This window comes from Homo sapiens, chromosome 16, assembly GCF_000001405.40.
Source record: "Homo sapiens chromosome 16, GRCh38.p14 Primary Assembly".
Classification (NCBI taxonomy): domain Eukaryota; kingdom Metazoa; phylum Chordata; class Mammalia; order Primates; family Hominidae; genus Homo; species Homo sapiens.
In genome coordinates, this window is record NC_000016.10 from 22,354,292 (window position 1) to 22,372,400 (window position 18,109).

At 40.7% G+C, this 18,109-nt stretch overlaps 1 protein-coding gene across 2 annotated transcripts in view, besides 2 other annotated features; it reads right to left on the reverse strand.

Moving 5' to 3' along the window:
• The window catches only part of CDR2 (cerebellar degeneration related protein 2), a 28,684-nt gene that overhangs the window by 8,356 nt on the left and 2,219 nt on the right, over nucleotides 1–18,109 (reverse strand). Inside the window, exon 2 of one of the 2 annotated variants that reach the window (NM_001802.2) lies at nucleotides 10,611–10,723. The exons of the other annotated variant lie outside the window; for it this stretch is intronic. Coding sequence (NP_001793.1) covers nucleotides 10,611–10,723 — 113 coding nt within the window. The remainder of the gene's footprint in view (nucleotides 1–10,610; nucleotides 10,724–18,109) is intronic. 2 annotated transcript variants of the gene reach the window in all.
• Nucleotides 2,980–3,059: an enhancer, noted in NCBI's record as "active region_10571". NCBI's record gives its function as "activates an Ori minimal core promoter by ATAC-STARR-seq in GM12878 lymphoblastoid cells {active_cell/tissue: GM12878}" and the evidence as "EXISTENCE:reporter gene assay evidence [ECO:0000049][PMID:35858748]".
• Nucleotides 3,930–3,999: a silencer, noted in NCBI's record as "silent region_7268". NCBI's record gives its function as "represses an Ori minimal core promoter by ATAC-STARR-seq in GM12878 lymphoblastoid cells {active_cell/tissue: GM12878}" and the evidence as "EXISTENCE:reporter gene assay evidence [ECO:0000049][PMID:35858748]".

The following is an 18,109-nucleotide window of genomic DNA, read 5'->3' on the forward strand; positions in this document are numbered from 1 at the left end:
GGGTCTAGGAGACACAGGCATTCACTGGATCAATGATGACTCTTCAGCTTAATGCTCACCGTCTCCCTGCATAGGGCTCAGCTTAGATGCAGTTATCCACTAAGATTAGGTTATATTTTAACTGTACCACAGCAGCATTCATCATCATAACGCTTCACTTTGGTATGTTCTTAACAATCATTAATTCCCTGAAATTACAAACTAGTTACCTTAACCTTGCTTGAGTGATCCTTCCTAACTTCTCAGTCCAAACAAATACTGAATTTCTACAGATGGCTAATCTTATCCACTGCATTTTAAAACTTTCTATTGTGGACCAGGTGTGGTGGCTCATGCCTGTAATCCCAGCACTTTGGGAGGCCAAGGCGGGTGGATCACTTGAGGACAGGAGTTCGAGACCAGCCTGGCCAACATGGTGAAACTCCATCTCTACTTAAAAAAAAAAAAAAAAAATTAGTTAGGCATGGTGGCACACGCCTGTAGTCCCAGCTACTTGGGAGGCTGAGGCATGAGAATCACTTGAACCCAGGAGGCAAAGGTTGCAGTGAGATAAGATCACACCATTGCACTCCAGCCTGGGCGACAGAGTGAGACTATGTCTAAAAATAAATAAATAAATAAAACTTTCTATTGTGGATAATCTCAAACATATATACATGCAGAGAAATGGTTTAATGAACTCCCACGTACCCATCAACCAGTTTCAACAATTATCAACATACAGCCAATCTTATTTCATCTCTACTCTCCTACTTTCCTCGTCCTCCAATCATTTTAAAGCTAATCCAAGGCATCTCAAGTATACATCTTCATACATTTCTAGGACGTTTTATTTTAACCACAATTCCTAAGGGAAAAAAACTCAATAATTCCTTAACATCTATTACGTTTCAGCATTAATATTTTCCCAATTGTCTCAAGTGGTTTTTCCAGCTTCATTTGTTAGCTATTGATTTTTTTAAAATTTCACACTTAGGGGAGATATCTTTGCCTTTTTTGGAGTTGCCCCACTGCAAGGCAAGTGCCTCCCTCCTCTAATGCCTTTACGATCCCCTATCCGGGGGGATGCAGTTCTCCTGGCTGCTCCACCTAAGCCAGCAGTTCTTAGCCTGGGGTCCATGGATAGACTTTAGAGGGTCTGTGAACATGGATGAATTTAAAGGGTCTGAACAGCTACATCTTCATTTTTGTTAACTTCTAAATGAAATTTGACATTTCTTTCAAGTACTAATAGATCTGTTAAAATTTATAGGAGACCACTGGTTTGGACTGAGTCCCTGCCCTAGGCCCAACAAACCAAACCAAAATGGAGTCACTTGTGCTAAAGTTCCATGTCAGCAAGCCAAAGCAAAGTTGTTCATCTGACTTCTGAGAAATTAGAAGAGATAATAGCCAAGCCCCCAAACATGCCAGTTTTAGCCAGCATAAGGGACTTCCCTCTGCTTTAACCTTTACAAATAAATTAACTTTGAAACCACCCATTTTTTGTTTTCTGTTTCTGCTTTCCTCAGCCCCTGTCTATAAAACCAACTTCCTCTGCTCAGCTCATTGAAACCCTCATTCTCTAAGAATGAGGTGTTGCCCAACTTTAGAATCTCAAATAAAAGCTAATTAAGATCTTTATACTATGTTTGTCGTAATTTTTTCTTTTGACAGAGGCAATAAACCACTAGTAGTATTAGGTTTATCTGTGACTTCATCATCAACAGAAATCACAGGTATTTTCATATTGCACTATAGTTGCAGAAATCTTGATTTACTGCCTACATTCATCACTATTTGAAATCATGGTAGTTTCTAGATCTTGTTATTAAATATGTTAATACGTATCTATATTACATCACAAATTTACTTTTTTCAATATTTGACAGGTATTTCATTCTAACAGGTTTCCTTTGTAATTCAATGAATTTTAAGAGGATTATCCTAGATCTCATTAGATAATCAAAGGGATCCATGGCACCAAAGAAAGATTATAAATTCCAGTTATCCTTCTGGCCTCATTTCAAACATAACCTCTTCAGAAGCCTTTTAAGACCACTTTGGCCAGGTGCTGTGGCTCATGGCTGTAATCCCAGCACTCTGGGAGGCCGAGGTGGGCAGATCACTTGAGGTCAGGAGTTCGAGACCAGCCTGGCCAACATGGCAAAACCCCGTCTCTACTAAAAATACAAAAATTTGCTGGGTGTGGTGGCTCATGCCTATAATCCCAGCACTTTGGGAGGCCGAGGCAGGTGGATCACCTGAGGTCAGGAGTTTGAGACCAGCCTGGCCAACATGGTGAAACCCCATCTCTACTAAAAATACAAAAATTCGCCGGGCATGATGGCAGGTGCCTGTAATCCCAGCTACTCAGGAGGCTGAGGCAGGAGAATCACTTGAACCCAGGAGGTGGAGGTTGCAGTGGGCCGAGATCACGCCACTGCACTCCAGCCTGGGGGACAAGAGCAAGACTTTGTCTAAAAAATAAAATAAAATAAATAAAAATACAAAAATTATCCAGGCAAGGTAGTGTATGCCTGTAATCCCAGCTACTCTACTGGGGAGGCTGAAGCAGGAGAATTGTTTGAACCTGCGAGGCAGAAGTTGCAGTGAGCCAAGATCATGCCACTGCACTCCAACCTCAGCAACAGAACAAGACTCCATCTCAAAAAAAAAAAAGAAAAAAAAAAAAAAAAAAGAAGACCACCTTAAAGCAGGTCTAAAGCGGCAGCATTCCCAAGGTACCCTAAATTGATTTCTCTCAAAACAATACAATAATATTCAATTTTTTGTTGTTGTTGAGATGGAGTCTCACTCTGTTGCCCAGGCTGGAGGCACGATCTCAGCTCACTGCAATCTTGGTCTCCCAGGTTCAAGTGATTCTGCTGCCTCAGCCTCCTGAGTAGCTGGGATTACAGGCTTGCACCACCACACCAGGCTAATTTTTGTATTTTTATTAGAGACTGGGTTTCACCATGTTGGCCGGGCTGGTCTTGAACTCCTGACCTCAGGAGATCCACCTGACTCGGCCTGCCAAAGTGAAGGGATTACAGGCATGAGCCACCGTGCCAGGCCAGTACTGTAGTCTTCTAAGAATGGAAGGCTCTTGTGTATCTAGTCCATTCCTGACACACAGTAGGGGACAAAAAAATACTGGCGAACTGGCAGTTTCTAGACTTTTCTTCACAACAGCTTATTGTGCTTGGCATGACTCAGACTGTGAGATGTCAAGGGGGATTTAACTGAAAGGTTTTGAGAAGGGCTTTGGCTTTAGCCCTCTTGGGAAAACAGCCTATTAACCATGAATTCTCTCCCCGCTTTTCCATTTATAGATTATTTCTCTGTATTTATTCCCATGGCAGCAATTGCCCCGGTAATCTGAGGGGGAGACTTTTACAGTTCCTACCAGATACCAGATGGGTCTCAAGTTGTTGTTCTCTTACAGATAGGATGTTCAAGTTAGAGTTGTGGCCAACATACAGGAAACAAGTCAATATGCAAATAAGTACAAACAGGCCATTTAAGAAACTATAGAAAGTTCCTTGTTTGATATATAAAAACCTGTGATACCTGTGATAACAACATAATGAAACCATTTAAGAACTTGTGATATTTTGGTTTTAGATGACTTGGCTTTAACAACAATCTAAAGAATGTCAAGGAGCTTGTTTTCACATGGTAGGAGCTTAATCTTATTATATAAAACCAAAATTAATCAGAAAAGCCCTTCACTTCTCCAAGATTCAGTTATAGGGGACCTACAGAAGAGTCTGACAAAACCAGTCAGCAACTTAAAGAAAAATGATGAGCTCTCTAAGTACGTACTGATGTAAGGCCAGACATCTAGGTCTATGGAGTCAGTGCTTCATTTTTTTTCTGAATCTAGAAGGAAATGGGTTAGCTTATTTCCTACCTCTCATCTCAAGGTACAGACATGCTGCTGACATGCTGGTTTTCTCTTTGATACACAGCCTCCAATGAATCTGACTGCCATAGTAAACAGGAAAGGGAGACATTTAAAGCAAAACAGTGGGGGAAGGGGGTCATGGGGTAGCAGAAATGTGGGCAAAAATGTCAACTTATAGCAAAATGCCTTGGGTTTATCTCACTGTCTAGGAATTTGCACAGACTGTCACCTCAACTATGAGTACAAGGTTCCAGTTATGCACAAAAGCTACAAACAGGCCACCTTTACAATTAAGGTAAATCTTTAAAAAACAAAGGCCAGCAGAATTACATAAATACCTATTTGCAATTGTGGAATCCTAACCTGGAACGCAGGGAAAGATAGAAACAAACGACCCCAAGTAAAAATGCATAGAAATGGAGTGGAAATCTGGCTTGTAAGCAGTGTTGGGATTATCCTGAAATTAAGGATTACAGCCTAAATCCTCTGAATTTACTATCAAAATGAACTTCCACAATAATAAAGAAATATTTCCTATTACTTTTGAAAAATCTCTTTCCCCTGATGAAATATATTTCCCCTGTAGAAATTTGGTGGCGGGAGGCATGAACATGAAAATAGAAACCACCTATAATCCCATTATTAAAATTGTGGGATTAGATTGTTTTTAAAGTCTATTTCCAGTAATTCTGGAAGATTTATTTTTTCAGAATTTAAGTTCTTTCATGACTATAGTTAACAATATCTTATTGTATACTTCAAAATAGCTAGAAAAGATACGCAATATTCCCAACACAAAGAAATGATAAATGTTGGAGGTCATGGTTATCTCAGTTTAGATTTCATCATTACACATTGTATGCTTGTATCAAAACGTCACAGGCGCCCCAGATATATGTAAAGCTGTTATATATCCATACAAATTTTTAAAGACTTTTTTCACTACTAAAATTCTTTTTTTTTTTGAGACGGAGTCTCGCTTTTTTGCTCAGGCTGGACTGCAGTGGCGCAATCTTGGCTCACTGCAACCTCCACCTCCCGGGTTCAAGCAATTCTCTGCCTCAGCCTCCTGAGTAGCTGGGATTACAGGCGCCCGCCACCACGCCCAGCTAATTTTTCTATTTTTAGCAGAGATGGGGTTTCGCCATCTTGGCCAGGCTTATCTTGAACTCCTGACCTCGTGATCTACCTGCCTCAGCCTCCCAAAGTGCTGGGATTACAGGAGTGAGCCACCGCCACCGGCTCACTACTAAAATTCTTAAAACATTGGTAAACTATGCAACGATTTATACCGTTCAAAATATATATGCTTCCATAATCTCATCCCCTCAGAAAAATCCTATACCAAAGTAACAATTTATACTGTTCAAAATATATATGCCTCCATAATCTCATCCCCTCAGAAAACTCCTACACCAAAGCAGTGTAAGCATTATCACCATTCCATAACGGAGCAAAGAGAATCTGAGGGGTAATTCATATGTCTAAATTCTCTAGCTATTTGCAATTAAAATTGAGGGTTTAAACCTGAATCTCCTAAAACAGAGGCCAGAGCCCCTTCTGCCTGCCTTAAAAATCTCCAGAGGTGGAAACCCAAAGTTTAGGAGTTATTAGAAGAGCTTTGTAAGCTGTTTCTCCTCTGTTAAAATACTGATTTCAACAAAGTATTGATTACCTAGTATGTGTGAAAGACCATGAATAAACACAACAGTGCTCACTGTTGCAATGGGAAATAAGGGGAAAGGAAAATAAAGCAAATCAATTAAGTATCATATGCAGTAGAATATTGATACATGCAGTAAAAGCAGCACAAAATATTTTTCCATTTCCAAAGAGGGCATGAACTCTTGAAAGAAGGGATGCCTTGAAGGCCAGACTACTTTGAGTGCTAGGCACAACTCCTGTAGGGGATAATGCAGGTGTCTAAGCAGGGAAGTAACCAAAACACAAGGCTGTAGGCTGCTTACACGGTTGTAGCAAAGTGTAAATGAATCCAATGGTGTCTGATCTCATTACTCTCCCAAGTAAGAGTTCTCTCCTCCCCTCCTTCCACCCAGAACAGAAAAAACTTGCTCTGGATTCTTAAAAAATTATCTAAGTTTTTCAAATTAGCACTGAAAAAAAGTAAGACAGGCTACAGGCTTCTCTGAAGCCAGTTTAACCATTATTTTGAATAGTTTAATCTTTTTTCGTTTTCACATAAAAGGAAATTTTTGTTTTTTTCGTTTTTACATTAAAAATGATGCCTACCAAAAATACTGATCAATTTTTAGGAGGATTGTTTGAAACCCTCCAAGAGTCTTTGAAAGAATATTTGTGGTTCTACTTACAAAATACCCTTTGGCAGTGTCCAAGTTGTCTATTTCCATAATAAGTCAGAATCTTAGGGATCTTGTCCTAGTATTTTCACCAGTTCTCTGCACTATTTTTCATTCGCTCAGATGAGTTTGTTCCCAGACCATTCTTCTGGACTGTCTCATTTTAAATTTCACTGGTGGTGGGATAGGAGCTGACTTTTTGTTCTTCAACTATATATTTTTCTGAATTAAAAAAATGATCTTTTTTTTTTTTTTTTTTTTTTTTTTTTGAGACGGAGTTTCACTCTTTCGCCCAGACTGGAGTGAAGTGGCAGGATCTCGGCTCACTGTGACCTCCGCCCTGCAGGTTCAAGGGATTCTCCTGCCTCAGCCTCCCGAGTAGCTGGGATTACAGGGATGCACCACCATGCCCAGCTACTTTTTGTATTTTTAGTAGAGACAGGGTTTCGCCATGTTGGCCAGGCTGGTCTCGAACTCCTGACCTCAGTGATCCATCCGCCTCAGCCTCCCAAAGTGCTAGGATTACAGGCGTGAGCCACTGCGCCAAGCTGTGTATTACTTTGTAATCTAATTCCCAATAAACATTCTAAACAGTTACTTTAAAACTTGTACAAGTGATTCCATTCACGTAAAGGTCAAAAACAAGCTAAACTTAGGATGCTAGCTCACCGGGTGGTGACCAGATGAGCTGATAATGCTCTCAACTCCTTATCTAGGAATAGGTTGCATGGGCATGTTTACTTTATGAAAATTCATCAAACTATACACTTAGGATTTATGCCCTTTTCTGTAATGTAGATTTCAATAAAAAGTTTAAGGGAAGGAGAAACACGTTGAAAAGGCTCAAATTAAGGAGAGGGCCCTTATAAAGTTTAGGGGGCCTCCTGAAGGTTGCAATAAGAGGAACATATGCAAGGGTCATTGTTTAGCAAGGAAGTAGGCTCTTTAGCTGCCTGGTTACTTTTACAAGAGCACATGGCATTCTTTTAGGCTATTAGAGAGACCTCAGAAATCTACATCGTGATCTCTACATCTGCCCAGGCACAGTTGTGATGGAGCAGGCAGCAAGGACAGTCTGTGGGAATCCCCTGGCTGGTAAGTGGGCTTAGCCATTACTGCCATCTCATCTCCCCTACTGAGACTGGAAACTTACTTTCATGAAGCAACTTATAAAAGGAAAGAAAAAAGAAAGTCAACTGTAATGGTGGTGAAGAAACCTAAGAGAGTAATTATTCTTAGCCAAAAACAGCTTTGGATAAAGAGTAAAATACTGCATTGTGCAATGCTCAGATCTAGGAACCAGTGGACTACATATTACAGGAACAAGAGACTCATGAATATGTTTCCCGAAATATTCCAAGCTAAATCTCCTGAATAGTTTTATACATGAATTTTATACTTTTTTTTTTTTTTTTTTTTTTGAGATGGAGTCTCGCTCTGTCACCCAGGCTGGAGTGCAGTGGCACGATCTCGGCTCACTGCAAGCTCCGCCTCCCGGGTTCACGCCAATCTCCTGCCTCAGCCTCCCAAGTAGCTGGGACTACAGGCGCCCGCCACCACGCCCGGCTAATTTTTTGTGTTTTTACTAGAGACGGGGTTTCACCACGTTAGCCAGGATGGTCTCGATTTCCTGACCTCGTGATCCACCCGCCTTGGCCTACCAAAGTGCTAGGATTACAGGCGTGAGCCACCGCACCCGGCTGAATTTTATACCTATTTAATCATGAAGGTCTGAACTGGATTATTTCATTTCCATGACGCTTTGCAATATCTTATGGATAATATTAGATAATAAAGTGTTATTTGTAGATTTAGAGAATCTCAGATATCTTTGGATACTTTCAGAATACCAATGATCTAGCTTAAATGTTTAATCATCCTCGATACCACAGAAAACAAAGCAGTTGTTTGTAATCTCCTATGCTAATCAATAGGCATCATTCTCCCAACTTACAAATATTTACACTTCTTTCAGCTACACTTGAAAGATATGCTAAAATAAGTACCAGTTATAGTGTTTTATAAATGCTCTAACAGGAAACATCAATACAATTTATTAACTATTAGCAATAATCAGGCCTCGGATAAACCTCATAGACTACGATAATACAATTAAGACTATGTCTCTACACAAATACAAACAGTGATGATCGTTTAGGACTATTCTGAAATCTCCCACTGAGTTAAAAAACAAAGTCTACGAAACAAAGTAGGAAAGAGTTCCTTGACCACGTAAAACATTTGGCTAGTTTAATAGTTTTGTTTTTAGACTAGAGACACGGTCTCACTTTGTGGCCCAGTCTGGTCTCAAACCCTAGCCTCAAGCAATTCTTCCACTTCGGCCTCCCAAAGTGCTGGGATTATAGGCGTTAGCCACCATGCCTAGCCTAGTTTAATAGTTTTTAAATGCCTAGTTTCTCTGCATTTTAGGTTTCTGGCAAACTCTACAGTAGGTCTTTTTTTTTTTTTTTTGAGATGGAGTCTTGCTCTGTTGCCTAGGCTGGAGTGCAACTGCACAATCTCAGCTCACTGCAACCTTCACCTCCCGGGTTCAAGTGATTCTCCTGCCTCAGTGTCCCAAGTAGCTGGGATTATGGGTGCTTGCCATATTTTTTGTATTTTTAGTACAGACAAAGTTTCACCACATTGGCCAGACTGGTCTCGAACTCCTGACCTCAAGTGATCTGCCTGCCTCTGCCTCCCAAAGTGCTGGGATTACAGGCTTGAGCCATCGCGCCCGGCCTACAGTAGGTCATTAAATTCAATTTAGTGTAAAACATATTGTACGCTCTTTTGATGTAGAATATGCTAAAAATGGTACCTGGTGACTTCAATATCATTGCAAGCCATACTTTCCTAGAATTATAAAAGTGTATTTCAGAAATCCTGCTCAAGGGGAGGGTCTACTGTATACACCTTTTATGTTACTAGGTAAAATTAATGGATACTGAGATTGCACATTTGCCTTTGTTTTGATGATAGATTTGTATTCAAAAGTTTAAAACTGTATGATGTGATCACTTCTAAGGAAGGACTGTGTAATTCTCCGCTTGTTTGAATTCCCAGCACCTGGTTCAGGAAATAATCAAAGCTTTAGTAAGTACTCATTATGATGAACTGCTTCACTGTTCTAGAGTCTTTTACATTTTTCTGTGCACAGACACAAAAGTCCTGGGTCTACTGTACCAATTTAAGGGGGAGGAGCTTATAATTTAAGTACAGACCCTTTTTGGGGGAAGCATGGGTTGGGACATGGAGAAAGGTGTTCTGATGGGACACTGGTTAATATCCGTGATTATCTTTACAGTCAAGTGGCCTACACATAACTGAACTACTTGAAGGGGACTATTTATAAGATTAGCAGCATAGAGGGCCATTTTAATGCCCTAGTCTAGCATCTTTCATTTTAGTTTGTTAAGCTGGGCAAAAGGTATTATATTATTATTATTTTTTTATTGAGACAAGGTCTCGCTCCCATCACCTAACCTGGAGTACAGTGGCACGGTCTTGGCTCACTGTAGCCTTGACTTCCCAGGTTCAGGTGATTCTTCCACCTCTGTCTCCCAAGTAAGCTGGGACTACAGGCACACGCCACCACACCAGCCTAATTTTTGTATTTTTTTTTGTAGAGATGGGGTTTTACCACGTTGCCCAGGCTGGTCTCGAATTCCTGAGCTTGGGCAATCTGTCTCCCTCGGCATCCTAAAGTGCTGAGATTATAGGCATAAGCCACCACACTCAGCCAAAAATGTAGCATTTTAATAAAATATCCAGCAAAAATGTAAACAAATCAAGATCACAGCAGAGAGAAAGCAACATGTATTTTATGATTATTTGAATGGAGCAAAACATCTGAACACACTGTGAAATCAGGAACTATGATTTTTTTTTTTCAAATTTAGGATATGGTTTGGTAGTAGGTGGGAGGGATATGTCACCAAGGAGGAGGTATAAGTTCCCTCTCCGGTGGGAAGTTCAAGAGTGTGGGCAGTCTTCTTTTTTAAGCTAGGTGGTGGATATATGGGTATTCACTGTATTGTTCTCTTACCCCATTCTGTATATCTTAAATATTGCATGTTTTAGGCCGGGTGTGGTGGCCCATGCCTGTAATCCCAGCACTTTGGGAGGCCAAGGCAGGTGGATCATCTGAGGACAGGAGTTCGAGACCAGCCTGGCTAACACAGTGAAACCCCATCTCTACCAAAAATACAAAAATTAGCCAGGCGTGGTGGCAGGCGCCTGTAATCCCAGCTACTCGGGAGGCGGTTCTCATTCTCAAAAAAGTTTGTGTTAAAAAATAAAATGCTGCATCTAATTGCAAGTGCTTTTTTACCAGTATGTGATTGGCATAACAGCAACACATCGAAGTGTCAAAAGTGTAACTCTCCTGCCAAGTGAATTACCTCAATTTCCTGTAACTGCTCCTGATTGGTTGTATACATCTGCTGAACAGAGTCCTCCAACTCTGTGTTCCGATCCAGTAATGTCTTCCCAAGCTCAGCAGCAAGTTGAAGATCTAGCACAACAAATGAATCTTAGAATAATACAAATGATCTCACATCAACAATTTATATAACCCAGTCCTTCAAAAAAGAACATGTAGTTTAAGTCACATCCCAATGGAAGGTGGAGTGGCACAGAAGGAAACCCGAGTTCTACTTAAAATTCAGTTAAACTGACGCCTCCAGCAGGTAATGTATTCTCTTATGTACCCATACTTGTAAGAAGTGAAAAATGGTCATCTACTTTATGGAGATGCAGTTATTTGTTCAGGAATGATCATTCCGCAGTGTTACTTCTAAAATCCTATTTGCTAGTACAATGAATGTATTCATATCCTGACAGTCTACTTTTTTGAATGGACCCTTGAGCCAAGGTATAGGTGGAGCTTTCAAAAATCTTTAAAGTTCCCATGAATTTGCCTGCTGTGAATACAACTGTTAAAGTTTATTGTCATATATCCTGGACTCCTAAGGGGACTAAAATTTATTAAGTCAAGAAAAGGAAAAATACATCAGCATTAAGAACACTGCCCCAGGTCACTCTACTTCTCTTCGTGTCCTTCTGTAAGATGAGCAACTAGAAAAGCAAAACAGAAATGTGGTTTTTGAGGTAATTACATGTCAGTAGCTCATACTTCCATTTAGCACAGAACCATATTTTATTTTAAACCTCATTTTTCAACTCTCTCTATTCTTAGGTATAATGCCCATAAAACAGGATTTGTTTATATTATACTCAACTCCCAGAAATGAAAATTTAGTTAACAATATAAGAAAGGACACTAGTTGTAACATACGTCATTGAAATACTTCTTTGCATAGTAAATCTTATGGAGCAGTCCTTTGATACAGTGGGAAATGCACTGCACTCTGGGCAGGTAAGTCTCAGGCCCAGTTCTATCATTTACCAGAACACTTTCAATATGGTGACTTTAAGGCCCCTATAGTTAGTATTCTTGTTTAGAGAGATGACTGTCTTATCAATATAAGATTGTGAAAATCAAATGAAATAATACATAAAGGAGTACTTTACAAACTAAGTTGCAATACGCACGCAAAGTACTATTAATAGTCATTGATTCACAAATGAATGTTTTTGTTGCCAGGCACTATGCTAAGCATTAGCTATAGAACAGTGAATAAAATGAAGTCCTGCTTTGCTGACATTCCCAGATTAGTGGAGGAAGCCAGACAAATGAGTAACTAAACTCACATACTGTGATAAACAGTATTCATGCATGCATGCATATACTCAATAATATCAGACACTATTCTAGGCACTGGGATGGTGCCCAGGAGCCATAAGGAACTCACATTAAAAAAATATCCCTGCCCTCATGGAGCTTATATTCTACTGGGAGAAACAGCACAATAAAACTTGATAGCGATAAATGCTAAAGAGAAAAAAATAAAGCAAGGAAGAAGTACAGGAGGAGTGTGGATGTGGGAGGCTGAAATTTAAGAACATGTGACCAGGGCCACATTAGAATCAATGTGTGAAGGAACAGAATAAGTGACCCATGTGTATCCATCAGGGAAACAGCACTCCAGGCAGAGGCAAGGCAAGTGCAAAGCACCTGGGAGGAAGCATGACTGAGTCATTAAGGAGGCTGAGGAGGGTGGAGCAGAATGTATTGGGCAGGGAGGGGAGGGGGAAGACTCAAATCAGAGGGGCTCCAAGATGGCCAGTTTGCGGAGGGCCTAACTAAAGAGGTCAAGAGTTTGGCCTTTACTCCAAATGAAGGAATCCAATGGAGGTTTAACAGGATCACTCCGGCTGCTGTTATACAGGGTGAATGGGACAAAGGTGGGAGCAGAGTGACAGAAAGATACTGCAATCGTCTGGGTGAGAGATGATGGTGGCTTGGACCAGGGTGGCAGAGATGAAGATGGGAGAGGAGGGGCAGAATTCTGACATGTTTTGAAAGTAAAGCTAAAGGATTTGTTGACCAATTCAATATAAAGTCTAAAAGATAAAGCGGGGGAGAAAAACCTGGATTTGGTGATAATGAACAAAGGGCTTTCTTTTTCTGTCTCTTTATTAGGCACGGTCTCGCTCTGTTGCCATGCTGGAGTGCAGTGGTGCACTCATGGCTGACTGTAGCCTTGGATTCCTGGGCTCAAGTGATCTTCCTGCCTCAGCCTGCCAAACAGCTGGGACTACAGGCATGCACTACCAAACCCAGCTTACTTACTTACTGATTTATTGTAGAGACAGGGTCTTACAATGCTGCCCAGGATGATCTCAAACTTCTGGCCTCAACACATCCTCCCACATCAGCCTCCCAAAATGTTGGGATTACAGGCATGAGCCACTGTGCCCAGCCTAGGGCCCAATTTAGAAAGGGAGGTCATAAGGAAGGTCTGACAAGACCTTTTAGCTGAAGCTTGAAGGATGAAGAACTTGCCATGAATTTGGCATATTCTACAACCTGACAAGCAGCCAGTATGATAGAAGCATGAGGGATCAGATCATATAGGATTTTATAGCCCATGGTAGGTAAAGTTTAAATTTTATTCTAGGTATGATGGAAAGTAGCCTCAGTTATTGTCATAAAAGTATTATGAAAAAAATTTATCATAAAAACAAGGAAACTCACTACATAATGATTTTTAAACTTAATTTTTAGAGGTTGACAAATAAGGCTTAATGGCTATCCACCACTACTCATAGTAAAACTTAGCATTGAGTAAATGGTAACAACAGCATTAGTTGTTGTAATGTCCACTCAAGTGCATAATTAGTATTCTACTTGGTTAGTTTTCACTCTGGAAAAAGCAGCAAAACCTACCACACCCAACTCCAGATCATTTAAAAACATTTTACACCCATTTAAAATAAAACAGTATACTGTTGGTAGATAGGTGCTAAAATACATTCTCTTGTGATTTCAAAACTAACAATGTCTATTAGTCATTACATTCATTAAGACTTTAGAGGCCAGGTGCAGTGGGTCATGCCTATAATCCCAGCATTTTGGGAGGGTGAACCAGATGGACTGCTTGAGCTCAGAAGTTCGAGACCAGCCAGGGCAACATGGTGAAATTACATCTCTACCAAAAATACAGTGAGGCCCTGTCTCAAAAATAAAAAAATAAAAAATAAAGACTTCCATTAAATCTATGAAATAACTTGTATTTACAAAACACAGAACTTTTACAAATAGCTCAAAGCATTTAAGAGACATTAGTCTTTTTCTTGTCATTATTTATTTATTTTTTTTGAGATGGAGTCTCTCACTCTTGTCACCCAGGCTGGAGGGCAGTGGTGCGATCTCGGCTCACTGCAACCTCTGCCTCCTGGATTCAAGTGATTCTCCTGCCTCAGCCTCCTGAGTAGCTGGGATTACAGGCACCCACCACCACACCTGGCTAATTTTTGTATTGTTAGTAGAGATGGGGTTTCACTATGCTGGCCAGGCTGGTCTCGAAATCCTGACCTCAAGTGATCCGCCCACCGCGGCCTCCCCAAGTGCTGGGGATTATAGGCATGAGCCACTGCCCCCAGCCTACTTTTTGTTTTCTAGAGACATTAGTCTTTATATCTTTAAAGGTATTTAGTCCAGTTTCTCAGATGAGACAGCCTGAAGCACAAAACTGTTAATTGACCTAATCAAGCTCCAAGGTGAGTCACAGATCAAACAGAAACTCTTAGGTCAACAGGTTCTCACTCTCACTCTCATCACGATTCTTTGTTATCTTCATCTGCAGAGTTTTAAGGCAATTGAAAGAGAGGTCCGCAGGCTTCTTTAAGGTAGAGAATACAAATGTTCCCCTTGTTGAGGTACTTAATTTCTTCTACTTGTTTTCACAGATTGCAATGAGAAATTAGAGTTCAACTATTTGGGTTTTTATTGCCTGCTCTGCTAGTGAAAGCACATACAACCCCAGGCAAGTTAATACCCTGTTTTCACCAAATGAAAAAGGAACTATGTATGGCTCAACATGTTCCAGAAAAAATGATTTTGTACTCACAGAGTGTGTAATGTGTATACATAGACCCATATGGAAGCTACCACACTGTATTAAAGACAAAGTATAAAAACATTACCTAGGTATTACTTAAGTCTTTCCTTCTTAAATGTGTGAAGTGGTAATTCCTCACTGGGAAGGCTCAGATTCACCAAAGATGCTCTTAACCAGCAATCAAAGCCTGAGCCAAGGACCGGGTGTGGTGGCTCACACCTGTAATCTCAGCACTTTGGGACGCCAAGGCAGGAGGACTGTTTGAGGCCAAGAGTTCGAGACCAGCATGGGCAACATAGCAAGACCTTGTCTCTTAGCAGGAAAAAAAAAAAAAAGAAAAAAAACAAAACCCAACTGGGCTGAAACCTCTCCCAGAATCCAGACTGTCTTGAGACTATCACCACTTTCATTCAGTTATGGAACTACCTGTGCTACTTAAGAGTAGCCAGGAACCTCTTCCCTGCTCCTGCAGAAAGAGATACCAAGGACAGCACTCTTTAGTAGATAGCAAACAAAAAAGAATTTGAGACTTGTCCTTATCTCAAACCTTATTTCCAGTAAAACAAAGCACCAGCCTGGCTCAGAAACCTGAAGTCTCGATCTCCTAAATATTTATAGGCTGTTAAGGATAGAATTTTAACAAGTCCCAACTACAAGAAAGCTCCTGTGAAGTCACACTGTATAACAGGATATTACTTCATCTGTTAGCTTAAAGACACCGGACTTTGTCTTTAAAAAAAGTTCATTTCCTGTTGAGTAGCAGCTGGCTTCCATAACCAAAAGAGGCCAAAAGCTGGCAGTAAGCCCAAGAAAGTTTTCTAAATAATTAGTGGAGGGAATAGAATATTGAATGTCCCTTATAGTTTTAATTAAGGCACAAAAGAAAAGGAAATAATATAGTTTCGAAGCCTTATACACCTGTTCATCTCTACAGGATTACAAAATGAATTTTCATTAAGAGGGTCTTCTCTAAATCCTATTGAACTGGCCTGGTTTAGGCAACTACTAAAAATACTGTAGATTTATTGCAGGCTTGAGAATTTCAACATATCAATACCTTCATATGTTGAATATTCTTTCACTAATGAGTCTTTGCAGGTAATAATATATTTTTAATGGTGTAAACTGTTAGCTTTAAACAGATACTCAGCTCTATGCTTTAGGCAAAAAATTAGTACTGGCAGCTGTAGTCTGTAGGAGTAATTCACTAACAGTAAGGCTGAAAGTTTTTCCTATTACAAAGTCAAATGCGTCATTTAGTGATGCTTCTGTTTAACTCCTGTTGCCAATGTTACTATAATTGGGAAAGCAGAAAACCTGAATATAAATATCAAGAAAAATGATGTTGTCAGTTTTAATAACCCTCCAAACAGTGATTCAGCAAAATAGTTGTACACAAGGAGGATGTACTCATCCTGCAATTTTAGGATTCCTTTAAACTAAGAGTTCATTTACTGATCCACATAACAGAAACCTGAATCCTTATTCTAAGTTTGCACAGCTCACCAAATGACAATAGCAGCTGGTTTAAAAGAAAATCCAGTCTCTGAAGTCTTTCCACCTTGTTCTCAGGGGCATGTTTCAAAGCAAGCACCATCATTACCTGCACTGAAGGCTCCTGCTGTCCCAGAAAAGATCTTACCCACAGAGATTATTGTCAGTATTCCTACTGAGCCAACTCAGCTCTCTGACAAAAGACAGTCTCTTCATCAAAGAGTTTTGTAACAGCAAAGGGTTTTCTCCTCCTGCCTACACAAAAGCTTTACATGTTTCTAACAAGGTATGAATAGTAGACCAGAGTTTACTGAGGTTAGAAATTTCCAGCAATTTCAATTTAAAAACGGATACCCTAGGAAACTTTGATACAAAGATTCAATCTATTCAGAGCATGGCTTACTACTGCTAAAGGAAAACATTCTATAGTTGTAAGATACTGAGAACAGGATCATTAAAAGTTGTTTTCCAGCCAGGTGCGGTGGTTCACGCCTGTAATCCCAGCACTTTGGGAGGCCGAGGCGGGTAAATCACGAGGTCAGGAGATTGAGACCATCCTGGCTAACATGGGGAAACCCCGTCTCTACTAAAAATACAAAAATTAGCTGGGTGTGGTGGCACGTGTCTGTAATCCCAGCTACTTGGGAGGCTGAGGCAGGAAAATGGCTTGAACGCGGGAGGCGGAGATTGCAGTGAGCCAAGAGCGTGCCACTGCACTCCAGCCTGGGGACAGAGCGAGACTCCACCTCAAAAAAAAAAAAAAAGTTTTAAGCAGTTCTCTCCAAATAAGCCTTGCTCAGTAATAATAATGAGGATGTTAAAAAACGGACAGATGCCTGCACATAAAATCCCACTAGACTTGCTGAATAATCTGTTTAACAGGACAGACCTGCTCCCAAACTTAATTCAGCAGCAAGTGTCTACTGAGGGCCTACAATGTACGAGGCGCTGTAGTGGGCACATCCCATGAGGCGGCACCTCCAGGCTTCTCTAGTGAACAGATTCCTGGAACATTCACTCTATGGGAGTAGGAATCCTACCTATCCACTCATGTGGGGAGGTGCTGTGGCCCCAGGGCCCAGGCGAATACCTGGCAAAGAGCAGATAATACATTTTTGAGAAATGAACAAGTTTTAAAATCTGTTAAAAGTTTAGGAGTTAACATATAACTTAGCAAAACTGGGGAAAGGATACCCTTTTATTCACACTGTAGCCTTTATTCTTTGACAGGCCATATTCACAAGTTACAATTGTTGGAATTTCACATCTTCTACTCGTACTCCATATAGTTGGTTATGACACAGAGGGTTAAGTCAAAGTCCACTGTGATAACGTAACAGCCCTTTGAAAAACACAGAAATGCAACTGGCAGTAAAGAGGTTCAGATATGTGTGTGTGTGTGTGTGTGTGTGTGTGTGTGTGTGTTTTGAGAGGGAGTTTCGTTCTTGTCATCCAGGCTGGAGTGCAATAGCACGATCTCAGCTCACTGCAACTCCGCCTCCCAGTTTCAAGCAATTCTCCTGCCTCAGCCTCCCGAGTAGCTGGGATTACAGGGGCCTGCCACCACACCCACCTAATTTTGTATTTTTAGTGGAGATGGAGTTTCACCATGTTGGCCAGGCTGGTCTCGAATTCCTGGCCTCAGGTTATATGCCCGCCTCGGCCTCCCAAAGTGCTAGGATTACAGGCATGAGTCACTGCGCCCAGCCCAGACCTGTGTTTTTAAGGTTAAACTTGAAGAGCTGATGACTTTATTTTGATCAGAGGTTAAAGAGAATTCCTCGTGTAACCCTGACACGTTGCACTTGCTGCTCGGTAGATTGAAGTGTTACAGCTGTTGTTCCTAACAACCTCCCACAGCGGGAGAATGCAGCGTGGACTAAGGCACCTGATGGAAGAGAGCCATGAAAACAATTCTGTGCGAGTGCTTCAGTGCAGTT